Source organism: Homo sapiens, chromosome 5, assembly GCF_000001405.40.
Source record: "Homo sapiens chromosome 5, GRCh38.p14 Primary Assembly".
Lineage (NCBI taxonomy): Eukaryota > Metazoa > Chordata > Mammalia > Primates > Hominidae > Homo > Homo sapiens.
In genome coordinates, this window is record NC_000005.10 from 73,623,946 (window position 1) to 73,641,112 (window position 17,167).

General features: G+C 41.3%; 1 protein-coding gene across 4 annotated transcripts in view, besides 1 other annotated feature; it reads left to right on the plus strand.

The window, feature by feature from the left end:
- Positions 1,960-2,049: a silencer, noted in NCBI's record as "silent region_16091". NCBI's record gives its function as "represses an Ori minimal core promoter by ATAC-STARR-seq in GM12878 lymphoblastoid cells {active_cell/tissue: GM12878}" and the evidence as "EXISTENCE:reporter gene assay evidence [ECO:0000049][PMID:35858748]".
- The window catches only part of ARHGEF28 (Rho guanine nucleotide exchange factor 28), a 315,795-nt gene continuing 300,878 nt past the window's right edge, over positions 2,251-17,167 (plus strand). For all 4 annotated transcript variants that reach the window (NM_001080479.3, NM_001177693.2, NM_001388076.1 and 1 more), the window contains exon 1: positions 2,251-2,377. The gene's annotated coding sequence lies outside the window, so the exon portion shown is untranslated. The remainder of the gene's footprint in view (positions 2,378-17,167) is intronic.

Genomic DNA, 17,167 nt, shown 5'->3' on the forward strand with positions numbered 1-17,167 from the left:
GTCCCTTGTCTGTAGAGAATATATAGTCTTTGAATTCAAAACAAATGCTGTCCCAGCCAAGCTTAGTGCCAGCAATGTCCTGAGTGACCTATATCTGGAGCAGTGAAATCAATCAGGTGCAAAGGGTTATTTACACAACTGATAGCTTCCTGCCTCAGATAGTCACGGCTTCTTTTAAGGTTGCTGAAGCAAACACTTTGCTTAATATTTGAACCTAGAGAAGTTGAAAGCCAAGTACGTATTTAAATATTGATCAAGCTCAGGGCTTGAGAGCAGGCAAGAAAACTGCAGCTAGCATTGTATGTCCTTGGGTGGTGAGAGTTTCACAATTACTAGTTTTGCTGGTTTCTTTTTAGTGGGGAAGGGGCTTGGGGGTAACTTCTTATAATATTTGTTCCTCTTTCCACATTTTTTTGTTTTTTAAAAAAAGATACATACCTGCCAGAATTAAAAAAAAAAAAAAAAGAAAAAGAGGGCTTCAGTACTAGTGATATGAAAAAGGACAATAACAACAAAGGCTTCTAACACATCACCATGTTTATTCACCAGAGTTTGGAAACCATTTTTGTCTGGCATGTTGATTCAGTTAATCTTCAGTTCAAGTGATTCTCCTGCCTCAGCCTCTCGAGTAGCTGGGATTACAGGCACGCACCAACACACCCAGCTAAATTGTGTGTTTTTGTGGAGACGGGGTTTCACCATGTTGTCCAGGCTGGTCTCGAGCTCCTGACCTCAGGTGATCCACCCGCCTCAGCCTCCCAAAGTGCTGGGATTACAGGTGTGAGCCACCACGCCCTGCTCAAAATTTTTTCTATTTTTGAAAAGAATATTATTGCTTTTATTTTTATCTTGTGTACCTTGACACTGGGCAGGATATATATATATATTTTTTTTTTCTTTTTTTTTTTTTGTGGCAGCGCCTGAGGCCAGGCCTTGAGTTCACAGCTCTGTGGGGCTGAGGGTGGAATCAGCTGGGATGACAGCCCAGGTCAGGAGTGCAATGCCAGTGTTGGGGTCCCTTTCCCAAGGCGGAATTGCAGCCTTTGCCTTGGAACAGGGCTAAGGCATTCAGACACACGATGGTCTTTCTCTTGCTAATCTCAGCCTTTCTCAGCATTCGTATCAGCAAGGTGGGCTGGGGAAGGTGGCGGCTGGAAGGGAGACAGAAAAGGCCCAGGCCCAGGAGAAGTGGTGGTGGCAGCCTGGGAGCTGGGCTCCATTCTGGCTTGGGATCTTGGTGGCCAGCTTCCTCGGGCCACACCTTTGTTATGGTTCTGTGCGTAGCCAGTCTTCAAAGGAAAAACAAAGCAGAGACTCAAGGTGATTTTATAAATTTTATTAGAAACTTTATATTTCAATACTAATTTCCTTACAAATAGTCTTAACTATAACACTTACTGCCACAGCAGTCTCAGATGGGCAATTTTACCTTTAAAGCTGCAATAATGGTCTTAAGTCTGTATATGAGAGCCTGGCTGATGAAGAGGCTTGGCTTCTGCTCTTGGGGCTGTCATCACATCTAAGAGGAAAACTGCTTTGGAGGATAAGGAAGTCCCTTCACATTGCTGTTCATTGTAAAAGTGGTTATGGTTTTCATACGTTTTTGAATTAAGACTTGCAGCCACTTGCGTGCATAAACGTGAAGGGAATCGCAGCTTGCAAAGCTCTCGGCCAGGGAACATGAGCTTCAAATAAGAGGGCAAATGCTGTTTTTAAAAATAATATTTCCTATTGTAATAGACCCGGGCCGTATTATGTCACGGGTGTGGTGGCTTTTGGCTGGGAACAGCCTGAGCCTCCCTCGGGCCTGGCACAACTCCTTTCGCGAGCGGGCAGCCCAGCGCCTCCCTCGGGAGGCGCCAAGGCGTGGGGGCGCCCGGGGCGCAACTGGCACTCCTGTGGCCCGCCAGGTCCGCGCCAGCCTCCGCGCCTCCGATCTCCGGAGGCCAACGGCCGCAGCCCCGCAGCGGGAGGGGGCTGGCGGAGACAGCGCGGTAGGGGCAGCTTCAGGTTTCCTCCTGGAGCCGGTGTCGGGCGCGGCCGGCGGGCGGGCCTCGCCATGTGATGCGGCCGCCGCGAGCCGGGCCGGGAGGTGGGCAGGCGGGGATCCAGTGGCAGCGGGGAGGCGCGGGGGGAGCGGGGGGAGCGGGGGCGGCACCCGCTGCTGGCGCAGCCAGCCGGGCCCGGGCGCGCGGCCGCGGCTCCACCCCCTAAACCTTGGCTTCAGCCCGGCCGCCGCCAGGCGTTGGCATCGCCGGGGAGAGCCTTCCGGACTCCGGGCGGCGGCTGGCTGGGGGCGCGTTCCGAGGCGCCCTCAGGCAGGGCGCGGGGGCAGAGCCTCGCCTGGGTTCTGGAGGCTGCGGGGCCATCGCTCCAGGTAAATGCTCTTTGGGACTCCATCGTCTGCGTTTCCCTGCAGCTCTGGGCGGAAAAGTTTGTCCACCTGAGTTCGCATCCGCAGGGCCACTTTCTCCAGGGTCCCCAGGGATGCGAGGGTCAGCAGAGGTGACCGGGGAACCGCTGCAGGCGCTGCGGCGCGAGGGCTGGGCGCCGCCTCCCGCTCCCTCGGGAGCGGCAACAAGTGGAGAGGGCGGCGCAGCCTCGTGCGGCGGCGGCAGCTGCGGAGCGCGGGGTCGCTCGGGCGCACTGAGAGCCGGGGGCTGGGCGGGTGAAAGCCCCGCCAGTGTCCTTCGGGAGACAGGGAAATAAACAGCACTCCTGCGGTGGAGAAGGGAGAACGTCGAGAGTTGGTGTCCGCCCTTCCCATCCATGCTTCAGCTCCGGGACTGAGGGTGCTTGGCAGGGCCAGGACCGCAGAATGCAGACGGAACGCAAGCTCAGGACACACGCACTACCACTTACTCGTGTGGAAGCATCTGCTGTGTTTCAAAAGGCATTTATGGTTACCTTGGTTGGGAAAGGTGGTCAGAATTATGTGGGACTCCTTACGCTTATTTTATGGATTTGTTTCCCCTTAAATACCCGGGGTGTATGTGGTGGTGCCCCAGCCTTCCCGTGCTTAGGTTTTCCGAATGACAGGCCGGTGTTTGGCCAAGAAAGCACCATTTGGGTCGAGGGCTGTATGGAAACTGGGTGCTCAGGCGGCCCTGGATACCCAGCTTTGGTTTCCCAGAGACCAGTTAGATTTCTAAGAAAGAATCCATCTCTATAGGCCCACAGCGTCCCCGCATTGGTTGGCTGGGTGGGCCGAGGAACAGTGGCAACATCTGTGTTTGTGCGGCTTCTCCCGCCTTGACCCCTGCCTGGGTATCCACACATCTCCTCACACCAGGAGTTATAGAGGTTCACCACGGACCACACCAATTGGGCAAAATCCAAAGAAAGTAAGATCTTTAATTTTCGTTTATAAAGAACTGATCATTTGGGGTTCCATGGGGCCCCTGGCTTTCTGAAGCGTTGTTATCTTGTGTTCCTAGGCCCTGAAGCTGTCAGGTGTAAGTGAAATCCTGTTTTCACTGCAAAAACAAATCAAGGACCTACCCTTGTTAGGTTCTGTGGCATCTACTTTGTACATGACAATCCAAGCGTAGTGATGACTTCTGGGAAACCTGGGAAGGTTTCTCTAGATCTGTCCTGGGTTTTTAGTTACACATTCCTAAAGCACATGGGTATTTGCCTAATCTTGATTAATAGCCAAAGTAACCCCTTTGGAGTATTTGCAGAAAAGAGATGAATATGGCAAAACCCTTTGGAATTTTTAATACAACATAGTATTTCAATGTAATGTTCTGATGTGGACTCTATATGTGATTATTGGGCTGATTAACTTTGATCAAATAGGAATTTGGCTAGCATCAGATCTTATAGCTAATGGTTAGGGAAACTGAGGCTCAGAGCTAGCTATAGAGTGTGTGACTCAGATGAATGTCTTGGGTAATGGGAGAATGGAGAACAGAGAATCAGTGTTTGTCCTGCTTTTGACTTTTTTTTTTTCCTTATCAAAACCACACAATCTGGCCAACTAAGAACAGGTTGTATAGCAGGCGTGTCATTAGACTTTCCTCTGAAGTACCCAACTGTCCTTTAAGCAGTTTATAAACACTTAAAGGTAAAGAAGAAAAATAGTAGTTAATAACTAAGTTTCTATGAAATGTCTCAGAAGCCTCACTTGGGTGGGTTTCATACTTTTTTTTTTTAATTATGTGAGTACTGCAGAAGAGTTTGGAATGTTTTCTTATTGTGTTCTTATAAGAAACTACACTTGTGGCTAAGACTTAAATTGGGCAGGAATTTCAGGTGAGCTCTGATACATGACCTCCTTTAGTATGCCCCGTGAGAAAAGACTATGTGTTCTAAGTAGGTATTAAAACAAATTGCAGCATATACTATTACTTCTATATTAAACATTCTGTACACCACTATATTGGTACCCAAGCTCCAACAAGTCCTGCCAGTTTATGACCAAGGACTGAATTCCAAGAAAAAAAGATTCATGATATAAATGTTGGAAAAGCCTCACCACTTGGGCATGGCTAGGATGGTACTGAACAGAGCCTAAATTACCTAGGCTGACTATAATTTTATTATGCTTTTATTTACTAATCAGATATGACAGATCTGGTTTGTGTAGGTTTTGTGTAATTGCATTTGTATTTATGTTGCTTTTAGTGAAGCAGAGTAGCTCTGGGATCCCCCCACCGGCCCCCGCCCATAACCTTAAATAAGATTTGTTATGAAGAGGTGGGTCAACCTGGGCAACTCCTACTGAGGATGTAAAAACAGTGTTACATTTGAAGTGCACCAAATTCAGGGAATTCTGCCATGCTAAAGTTGTGCTGTAAATATGCCACCCTGTCAGACTTGAGTCCACATCTCTACTTAGGCAAAGCTGGGCTTTGAGATATTTTTCTTGCTTAAGAAGTGTAGGTCAGGTCCTGTATCACAGAGCATTTTGCTCCATTTGTATGATACTCTGCCATTTTGTCCAGTCTCTGTGACCCTTAGTTCTTTTGTTATTATCATGGTATTGGAAGTTCTCGGAAGCCCAAGGCAGTGTCACTCTACTATTTTGCCATTTTGACAATCTCTATTATGGGGCTCTCTTTCTATGAACATGTTCTTCATTTACATTCATTCAACTAATATTTGTTGAAGTCTTACTATGTGCCCAGCACTGCTCTTTGCTTTGATTCTCTGATCTTTGGATTCCGTGTTGAAGGTGACACTTTTCTGGCTTTAGAGTTTTTAGGGTCTGTTGCATTTTCGGAGTAGACTTTTGCACACTCCACATTAAGACATTTGGCTGGCCAGGGTGGGGGTGGTGGCTCATGCACATAACCCCAACACTTTGAGAGGCTGAAGTGGGAGGATTGCTTGAGCCCAGGAGTTCAAGACCAGCCTGGGCAACATGGCAAAACCCTGTCTCTACAAAAAAAATACAAAAACTAGCCAGGCATGGTGGTGTGTGGTGTGTGCCTATAGTCCCAGCTACTTGAGAGGCAGAGTGGGGAGGATAGCTTGAGTTGGGGAAGTAGAGGCTGCAGTGAGCTGAGATGGTGCCACCACATTTCCAGTCTGGGTGACAGAAAAAGACTCTGTCTCAAAAAAAAAAAAAAATTAAAGACATTTGACTGGCAAAATAAGTCATGTAACTTATTTTTTTAATGTGATAGTGCATCTTCTTAATTGACTTCCATTTTTCCCTTGAAATTTGATCTCAGGCACAATAGTAATTTGCTTATTTGTAACATTATTGCTCCTGGACTTCTTCTCCTGGATAACCAAGATAATGAGATCTGACATCATTTTTTAATGAGAGAAAGTAAAAAAGTATATAATTGAATAGTGGGCATTTGTTCCAGTGATACTGGTTTTGAACACTTGTATAAAAATGTATTTTAATTTTCAGAGGTGTTTTCTCTTGTTTTAGTTTAATCTTTCCCTCAATTATAAATAACTCGAGGTCTGATTTCTGTAGAAAGTTAACATACAAGCGATGTTCTCTTAAGAGCAGATGAAAATGTGTCTATGAGTGAGGACCAACAGGCAGAAATCAGCAGTGGTGGCTTTGCTCTCCATAGTAGCCTGTTCAGAAGAGACCTTTCCAAAGCCAGCAGGCAAATAGCATTCTGCCTATTTCTAGTGGCAAGCTTTGTGTGACTGCTGTGCACATGATCATTGTGCCTTTAAAAAATATACACTTGAAATGTTAATATGCTTCAAATATATATAATAGACATTCCCTTAATAAATAGATGAAGCGTATATTGTATATATTAATGACATTTATGGTTTAGCTTTTCAATTCATTATCAAACACTAGTGACCATGCCCTTTCTGTTTAAGACTTACTCCTTTTCTTCCATCATTTTATAATTCAAGAAATTATATTTCATAAACTCTCATGAAGGGGGTTAGAATGTGGACTTTGGAGCCAGACTGTCTGGGTTAAATAGCCCCAACTTTGCCCTGGCTATGTGACCTCTCTCTACCTCAGGTTTTTCCATTTGTAAAATGCGGATAATAATAGTAACCTGCTTCAACTGTTGTGAGGACTCCGTGATTTAATTTACAGAGAACCCTCCTGGTAGTGCCTGACAGAGAGTAAGTTGTAGTTATAGCAAATGGAAAATAACCATTTAAAAAGGATAAAAGGGTAGCAGGTTTTTCAGCTTTCAGAAGGTAGTGAGATGTCAGTGTGACCCCAGGAGAAATTGCCCTAGGCTGGGAGTTGGAGGAAGGGATGGAGTCCTCTGGCTTTCCAGTTTTGTGACCTTGGGTGAATATTCCTACTGGAACCCTATCTGGTCCCAGTTTCCTCATCCAGTAAAATGGAAAGGATTAGACTGGATGACCTCTAAGAGCAACCCATTTTTTAACATTCTACTCAGTCTTGATGAATTGAATGTGAATGTGATGTATTTGTCAATTTGCTTTACTTGTCTTGGTCAACACTACTGGAAAGGTACTGTCTAAAAGGTTAGCATTGTGCCTGCAATAGGCATTTGAATAGATGATGAGCTGTCACTCTTATTCCTTATCTCTCCTTGACTACCAGACAGTCATCAGGTTTAAATGACTTGGAGTTATCTTCCTGGACTTAGTCCAAAGAGATTTCAGACATGCAAGTCCAGATTCCTTGTGTGGGCCATATGGCTGCCCTAGTCCTCTTCTTCTGAAGAACCCCTCATGTAGAAGAGGGGTGGTATAGCTCTGGAAAGAGGAAAGACAAGTGGGCTGACTGTTTAATTTTATGATAAAAATAATTTCTATCAGGCAAAGAAGTCTCATGAAGGACTTTTAAGTATGGTGAAAAGCAAGAGGTTTCATTGGGCTGGATGGTTCAGACAAAGTCCCTCGGGGGCTTATATTTTTGTCTTTTCCCACTAAGACCCTGATTTACTGTCTGTACATTGTCACTGGTTCTTTTTCAACAGTGCTTCTCCTTTTCTTGCTTCACCAGCCTCCTGGTTTGCTGTATGATCAGGTGTTAGAGTTCTGAAAGGTAGAGGATATTCAGTGATTAATGAGACTACTGACTATGGGTTCTTTACTTTGAGCCTCTAACCCAGGATTTCAAGCCCTGTTGTTCACTGGAACCACCTGGGTTCAGAATCTCTCAAGTGGACCTGGCATCATTTTCTAAAGAGGTGATTCTAATGTACAGCTGGGTTTGATAGCTACTTTCCTAATCTTTAGGTGTTTCTGGCTTCCTACATTGCACAGTGCCTAGGGAAAGGGTAACACCTGCTATTTCTCATGGTGTTACTGTTATGCTGTTGGTGTGTCAACTGCCTCCTGCTGTTTCTCCCTTGTGAACTCTCCAGTTCTGTTAGCCAGGACTAGTACTGCCTATGGAACATGTTGTGTGTTTCTGACTTCTTTGACTTTTTCCTAGTGGGCCCCTTTTCCTCCCTTGCCAACAAGTATTGCAGTCCTCAAAGCCCAGCTTAAACCACTTTCTGCCTGTAACCTTCAACTAACTTAGTAGCAACTGTGCTGCTTTCCCTTTTGAACTCCTACCACCCTCTCATTTTTTACTTACCACCTGTCCCTGGGTTCATTTTGTGTTCCTGTATATAAGTCTCAACTTTACATCGTGACTGTAGCCCATTAATGACAGGGACCCTGATTTAGGCTACTTTGTAGGGTGCTCAAAGTAGAATATACACGTGTTGGTCAGTTATTTAGTTATTTTGCTAACTGTCGTCTCAAGTCCTTCTTGTTTGCAGCACCACTGCAAGTACTAGTGGTGGTGTTTTCCTGGGTATCCGATGTGGATTGCGTTGGAAAACACTGGGGTACAGGGGGAGGAGGGCAAAGTTTGCTCAGGAATTAGACAGTTAGTCCTTCCCAGATGTAAATGGGAGACCTCATGGACCTCTCTGAGGAAACTGTATCAACCTGCATGGGGAAATGAATGAAATTCTTGATTAAAATCTGAGTCTTTGGATTGAAAGAAACCTAAAAGTTTTTCTCTAGTCTCCAGAAGGTGCACAATTCCCCTGCATGGCCTATCTCCAAATGGTTGACCAGTCTGTCCTTGAATACCTTCAGTGATGAGGACCTCATGACCATAAAGATAATCCATCTATTTGGAAAGCTTAGACTTTTAAAAACAATTCTCCCTTATCCTAAGTTTGTCACAGTTCTGCTATGTGGAGGCCATTCTGAACAATTTCTCTTATATGGTAGCCTCTAACATTTAAAAAAATTAATTATATATCCTACCTTCAAGTCTTCTTTTATTGAGGTTAGAAAATAAAAATCTGTTTCTTCAGCCCTTGTTAAGTGACATGATTTTGAATCCTTTCACAAACCTGAATATTGGACATATTCCAATTCACTATTTTCTTTTTAAAGTATAGTTCTTCCAGATGCTATCTGACGGTGTAGAGCAGCAGTCCCCAACCTTTTTGACACCAGGGATTCGTGTTGTAGAAGACAGTCTTTCAATGGACTTTGGTGAGGGGGATGGTTTCAGGATGATTCAAGTGCATTATGTTTATTGTACATTTTATATAATGAAATAATAATACAACTCACCATAATGTAGAATCAGTGGGAGCCCTGAGTTTGTTTTCCTGCAACTAGATGGTCCTACCTGGGGCTGATGGGAGACGGTGACAGATCATCAGGCATTAGAGTCTCATAAGAAGTCCCCAACCTAGATCCCTTGCATGCACAGCTCACAGTAGTGTTCGCATTCCTATGAGAATCTAATGTTGCCACTGCTCGGACGGGAGGTGGAGCTCAGGCAGTAAAGTGAACGATGGGGAGCAGCTGTAAATACAGATGAAGCTTCACTCTCTTGCGTACTGCTCAACTCCTGCTGTGTGACCTGGTTCCTAACAGGCCATGGACCTGTACTGGTCTTTGGCCCCAGGGGTTGGGGACCTCTGGTGTAGAGCACAGATCTGTCCCCCTTTCTTCTAGGGAAGAAGTGACACCTCATGGTTAAGATTAGCAGCTGCAGGTCAGAGAGACTTGGGGAGACTCATGGCCTGCTGCTTCTAGCTTGTCTTGGCCAAGTCACCTAAACTTTTAGCCTCAGTTTTTGTCTATTTCTCTCATAAGATTGTAAAAAGGACTCAATAAGATAGTCTATATAAAGTGTTTAGCACAGAACCTAAGAGAATAACTCCTCAATAAACAATACCTTTAATTTTTTTTTTTTTTTTTTTTTTTTGAGACAGAGTCTCGTTCCATCACCCAGGCTGGAGTGCAGTGGTGTGATCTCAGCTCACTGCAACCTCCGCCTCCTGGGTTCAAGCAATTCTCCCGTCTCAGCCTCCTAAATAGCTGGGATTAGGGGTGCATGCCACCATGCCCAGCTAATTTTTATATTTTTAGTAGAGACGGAGTTTCACCATGTTGGCCAGGCTGGTCTCGAACTCCTGATCTCAGGTGATCTACCCCCGTTGGCCTCCCAACGTGCTGGGGTTACAGGCATGAGCCACCATGCCTGGCCTAAAAGTATTTCTTAACTGTACTGTTGAGTTTCCACGTTCATAGTCATCTCAAAATTAGTTTCTTTTTATGTATGTTGCTATGGAGCCATATATCCTCATTCATGGAATTGTGCAATTGGGTTTTTAGTCTTATGAATAATCTTAATATTTATCTTTCTTGAATTTATTTTCCTGTATTTGACCATTTTTTCCTAGTCTTTTAGAGTGTTTATACATTTTTCATATTCACTACCCCTTTTAGTCTCAAGGTATCCATAGGTTTGATAAACATTTATTCAATGCCTGAGGAAACAATAAAAGTGTTATTTAGGCTGAAATCTAGGGCAGAGCCATTTGATGTGTCTATGCAAACTTCAGTTCAGGTTGATGTTTATCAATTTCAAGTAGGCTTGTTCAACTAATTACTACTTATTTGTATCAGCATCTGGTTCTTAATCCCCCATCTCCTCATAAAGATATATACTGTGTCTATTATATCTCTTTGTCTAACAGTCTGGTAAATTATCACCACATAATAAAATGGGGTTATTCTCAAGTGACTTATTCTTTGGGAGCACACACTGGCTCCAAAATGCCACTGCTTTTTCTTCGAGGTCCTCATACACCACACTTTTAATAATCTGCTCTAGAATCTTAATCTAGGATCAACATGAAATGCCTTCTGTCTATAATTTGTAGAATCTGCCGTTTTGAAAGTTGGAATGACATGTGCTTGTCTCCTGTATCGAATCCCTCTGTCATTGTCCACAGTTCCTGATGGATTATGGTTAGGAAATCTCATCAGATTCTTTACTATCCTGGCATGTCCAGCAGCCTGGAACTGATTCAGACCAGCTTGATGCTCTCTTACAATGGACTTTCTCACTTAGAGATGTTCTTTCTCTCCTTTTTAATTAAAAAATCATTCCTTTCTAAAAGGAGACAAAATACAAATAGACATGGAGGAAATCTCTTTTCTTGATCAGTCTTCTATGCTCTATCACCAGCCCCAAGCCAACCTATTCCTTTCTTGACATTCTGGTTTTAAAAATAGTTGAAATAAAAATTTTAGTATCCTTAGATTTTTAGGAAACCTCAGGTTATTTGGGCCTTTAGACTGTCTGATACAATTCTAAAGAGCATGACTCCCTCATGTTTGTTCTTGCAAAGGGCCAGGGAAGAGAGTAAAAAGAAAGCCATTCATGGGCCGGGTGCAGTGGCTCACGCTTGTAATCCCAGCACTTTGGGAGCCCGAGGCAGGTGGATCACCTGAGGTGGAGAGTGCGAGACCAGTCTGACCAACATGGATAAACCCCGTCTCTACTAAAAATACAAAATTATCCAGGCATGGTGGCACATGCCTATAGTCCCAGCTACTCGGGAGGCTAAGGCAGGAGAATCGCTTGAACCCAGGGGGCGGAGGTAGCAAGTGGGCCGAGATCGCGTCATTGCACTCCAGCCTGGGCAACAATAGTGAAACTCCATCTCAAAAAAAAGAAAGAAAGCCATTTTTTTTTTATCATTTATGTATGAGTGGAAAATAGCACACACCTAGGAATCAGGAGACCTGGCTTTAGTCTTGAGCTCATTGAAAGTAATCTCTTCATATCTCCAAGAATCAATGTCTTTTCCAAATAGAAGGACTTTGGTTGTTTCTATAAACTGTGATGATTTCTTTAGGTAGTGATTTCATTGGCTATTTATAAAGCTTGGTGGAGATGGAATTTGGATATGGTAGTGTAGTAGGGAAATTAAAGTCCAGGTTTATCACTCTGTGGAATAACCTGTCTCCTTTTTTATTATCAGAAACCCACATTTAGGTATAAGAATCAGCTCATCTAATGTAAGTGTTGTCTTTCACGGAGTTGTCAACTTTGCAACTTGTCAAAAACTTCAGGAATGGATTTCTGGAAGTTGCTTTTATAGCAGTTATCACAGCCCCTAGAGATGTAGCAGGATTCAGCTGGCCATTCCTATTCTTGGAGAAAAAGAACAATGCACAAAACGCATTGCCAATGCTTTAATAGGGTTTTAACTGACGGATTTTTAAGGGGGAGTGAAATAGAAGTATTTCTCTTAAGTTCTATGTTTCCTGACATATGTAACTGTTATATAAAATACATGTATATTGTTTCTTCTCCCATTTGATCACCAGAAATATTGATATCTTGCTCACTGACAATAAAACAGTATCAAGGACTCCTTGATGTTTAGTTAGAAAAGTTCCAACTTGGACAGAAATTTGTTTATTATGAGACAAAGGTCTTATGTCCTTTGATTTTTAGTCTTCTTGTAAAAATGTTTTAGTGTTAATAAAAAGGTGCTTAAGATTTCAACTATAGATAACTTAGGTTGTTACAATAAAAATGAACCCTCTAGGTTATCTTCTTCGTATCTACAGAAAGTCCCAAATTAACTTTTCACTTGGCATGCTTGTCTCACAATGGTAGGGCTGAGCTAGAGAAAATTCAACTTTACCAAGAACAGTTTAAAGAAACTACATCTTGACATGAATGTTAACAGTAATTTGGATATTGTTTATTAGAGGTTTTTTCGTATTAAAAATAAAGAGTAAGTTTTTTTCCCCTCTCACATTTATGGTAGGAAGCTTTATCTTCATCAGCTGTGTTGCACCTTTGTGGACAGCAGCAGAAGAAATTAGAAGTAGAGAGATGTTTGATGTTCAATTCATTGAAAAACAGTCTCTTTAGTGTGAGTTGGAAGTGATTGCTGGTGGTTCACACCATTCATCATAGTGGGGTAGTAGAGTGTGTGCAAGATGAAGGTTTTAAAAAGATTGTCAGTCTGAATGTAGCAAAGGTTGGACCAGAAGTAGATTTGGGTTGAAGTCTTAGCATTGCCACTGATATATAGGGTGGGTCATATCACCTTTCTCGGCTCTGGTGACCTCATCTGAAACCCAAGGGGCCAGGGTCAGACCATCTCCACGGTGTGTTCCATCTGTCAAGTTCTATGTTTCTGTGGAGGTAAGGATGGTGTCTTAAGCCTCCCTCACATTACGAGCATCACGCTTGGCTCCCAGAGTGCTTTCAGACACTTGACTGGCAACATCTAGATTGTTCAGGAAGTTGAGTTTGAAGATGGTGCTTCAGTGTTGCATCTTTATGGGGAGAAATGGTTGCAAATACTTTGAGATTACCCTGTCATGGCAGCTCATGTTATTGTTGTCAGAATACTTCATGAGCAGTGAGGTGGAATCAGCCAGTAATAATCAAGTAATTATTTTTAATTGAATTTTAGGATGAATGAAAATGGGTATTAATTTCATTTTAACATATTGAACTTAATGTACCTAACCCCAGTGAGGCTGGGTGGAGAATATGCTCTGAAATGTATGGCCTTTTTGATAACTATCAGTTTTTAGCTAAAATAAGAACTTATATAATGGTTCCATCCCCTCTCTCCCTTCCCCTAACCCCGCTCCCATCTTTCTCTACCTCTCCTCCTTCTCTCAAGAAACTTAGGGATTTTCCTTCTGTTTAGTCTCACAATTTTTTTCCTCAAAAAGAGATAGCAAATCTGTAAAACCTCTAGTATTTTATGTAGTTCCTACCTAGTGGTATGAAAGAAAACACACTTGTGCTTATAAAAAGGTAGTATTTTAAAGCATGACATCCTTCCACTTTTCACAGAGCCTCAAGATAAAGATATTTTATTATATTGGTGATTTGGACAATGGATTTATTCTATTTGGGATTTTACTTGCTGAGTGTAGGGGCTCTAAGCCCTCTTATCATTTAGGAGTTCTTTCCAAAGCTTTTTTACTTCAGGGAGTTTTGGGAGTGTTATTTGATTTTTTGAGCCTTTATTGAGTTGGGTTTAGCTAGTAATTGCTGTAAGGCAGACATATGCTGCATGCTGGAGGTTCAGAGATAAGAAGCTTAGAGGTAGCTCTTGAGGAGCTCTCAATGCTGACAAATTAGCTGCCATAAAAGCCAGTAAATACATTGTGATATGGAGAAGCAATGGACCAGCGTGCTCTCAGCAGCCTGAGCAAAGGCAATTTTCTGGGAGCCGTACCTGGTATAATAGAGATCAAAGTATTGTTTAGTTTTTTTTTTCTTCTTTCCTGTTATGGTGTTCTAAATGTAATGTATATTGTAAATATGCATCTGCTCCAGTGATGTTATAGAAACAAGTGAATTTAAGAAATTGATGTTTTAATTAAAATCTGTAATTGGAGTGATTATCTTTCAGACGTTAGAATGCAACCACAAACTGTAGCACTTGCTTTAAAACTATTATTTTTTGAACATACATAATTACTTGCTGCTAATAATTTTTTAAAACCCTTTCAAAGTTGGGCTTATAAATAAATATTTACTGTAGCTATTTGGTGGGAGGGAAACTCAAATATTATCAAACAGAAAAGATGATTCCTTTATATTCCAGTTTGTTTTATTGTGGCAATATGCTTGCCATGACTTTACATCTTAACTTTGTATGGAAAAACTTAGTTATACATGTGTGAATCTATTTTTATAACTGTAGATACTTGAGAATTGAAACAATTTTATAGAATCCTGGAAATGTTTGATAAAGGTCTTGATGTTGTTCTTGATATGTCAATAGCAAATTGATTCTAATGTTTCAATTGTTTGAGGAGAGGCCTCTAGTCCAGGGCCAAGTATCCTACAACTTTGAGTTACATTGAAGACCACAGCTTAAGCCAAAACTAAACTAGGGAAAGTAAATTATAGTGCATTATCTTGCCTTTGTGACGTTAAAGAATACTGTTGTGAATATAGTGAGTACATACTGGTTTTTATTTATTTTGGGGTACAGGGTGATTTGAACTGATTAGTACCTAAAATTAAAAAACATAAAATCCTTCTCTGCCACAGTTGAATACCACTGAACTTATGGAACATTTAAAATTGCACAGTATTTAGAAAATACTAATCGAATGAATCACCACCTCATGTGTTGTTTTGATAGGAAGTGTATCACGTCTCAATAATTTCCTTAACATTTTTTCCTGCCAGGTGCCTGTTTTCTTCTTGTTGTTAACTTTTTTCTATAGAATTCCAAATATGTGGTTGATTTCCCCACTGATATATTTGCACAGTTCTTTTTCCTTTTTTCCCTTCTTTAGAGTAGCTGGCGCTTGTAGCTAGTGTTTGTATGCAAATCTAAGGCTTCTTACAGGGAAGAGAGAATGAGCAGCTGTTTTGGAGGCTGATGTCCAGCCTAATGCCTTTTTCTGGTAGGAAGATCTTCATGGCCCTAGCACGTAGGATTTTTACAAAGTAGGTTTTCAAATGTACCATGTCTTAAGGCCAAACTTACATGAAGTATTGTTCATTCAGTCACCTCTTGAGAGATTAGGGAGGATTTTCATTTTCTATTACATATATATATATATATAATATATATACATCCTTTTTTTTACAATGAGCATGAGCTATCTTGAAATAAAACAAATTAGAAATCATCTTTTTCTAAATCAAAAAATTATACAGATATGTACAGAGAGACATTTGTAATTAGCTCAGTAACTTGTGCAGCTGTTGAGAACATTCATATGTTTGTTTTTGGATATTTGGGTCAGTATATTTTGGCTAGTAAAAAAATGTGTGTATGTATACATATATATGCACACCATAACTATAAATTTATATACATTTTACCATTTCTATAAATTTTATATTTTATTGATTTTATCAGTGAATTGTTAGCCATAGTCTCTTTATTGAACATAGGATTATTGCAGTTTGAGTACAAGTATACAATAGATAATTTCTAATAATGAAAAATAAGTGGTTTCTTCTACCAGAAGTCTTCCTTTGCTTGTAATGTAGGACTACATAGCATAGTAAGCCTTATATCACTAGACATTTAAAGTCATATAACTATAGTGTATCCCATGTAAAACTGAAGTCTATAAATAGATTTGAAGAAGACGTGTTGGGGGTTGACATTTATGCAATTAGAGGCATTCCTGCTATTCAGATTAGTGGTATGCTTTTTCACATTTGTGCTTTTTCATTTTCTTATTTAGAAATAACAAATTGTATAAAAATGAATACTGTGTATTGGCAAATCAATCAGTGGCTTTATAAATGTCAATACTGTAGTAAGTGTTGCTTTTTATATTCTTAACGCAGATGAATGTCTAAACCAGAATATGGTTAAAATGAGATGCACATACGGGAAATAGCTAGCATTCTTGAAAATGACAGGTATGGGACATTAGTACTATAATGTTGTGACCACTAGAATAGAGTAGAGGATGGTAAGCTAGGCCTGGGGTGGACATTTCTTATCTGGGCTCCTGCTCTTTGTCTCAACTCTCTTCCTTTGATTCTTCTCTGCTTTTCTCTTGAAGGGATCAGACAGGTACCTGGACATAATCCCATAAGTGCTACTGGTATTCCAGTCCTCAGTTTCCTCATCTGTCACCTTCTGTGATTCAATAAGCAATATATGAATAGTTGCATGTACAATGTGAAAAGCCCCTAAGAAAGTTAAACAGCCTTATTAAGTATCTTTCATACTTCTTACATCAGAATGCCATTTAGCTACCAGTTTGGCAGAGATATGATATTTATAGTGCCAAAGGAAGTTTAAGCTAGTGGAGGGCAAATGATCATATACTCTGTTTAAGCCAAACTTTCTTCTGTATTATTAATGTTAACAATTTTTTAAAAATTAAACAAAAAAGAAGAAATTATTATCTCTACAAGCCAGCCAGCTGAGGATTTATTAGCAAGTTTTGTCTAAAATACAGCTGTTCTTACTTAGAGTCTCAAAATTAAACTTGAGGAGGGTTTAAATCTAGCTTAATTTAGATGAGTGTTTTGCATTTCCAGTTTCCTCATCTATGAAATGGGAATAATACCAGCCCTTTAGATAAAACTGGGTAGTTTGCTGATGAAATGAAGTTATAGAAATTAACTTTGGAAACACTTTCAAAAGTTTAAATGATATTTAAATATAAAACCAAAAACTGTAGCTCCATTTGCAGAGAGTTATTTAGGACATAGATTTACTATTGCTGTAAATATGTGTGTGGAAAAGCAGGGAGTGTAATCAGTTGGTACTGTGCCAGTTCCTAAGTCTCTTTGTCAATTTAGCACTTCTGCGTTTAGTAACATGTAAGAAAAATGTGGAGCCAATTCAAATTAGGGGAAGAAAGCCTCAAAGAGGCTGTTGTGTAGAAGGAGGGACTAATGAGTGGCCATGTTCTGGTAGGAATCCCTGGTTCTGTACTCATGGTCACAAAGACACTGTTC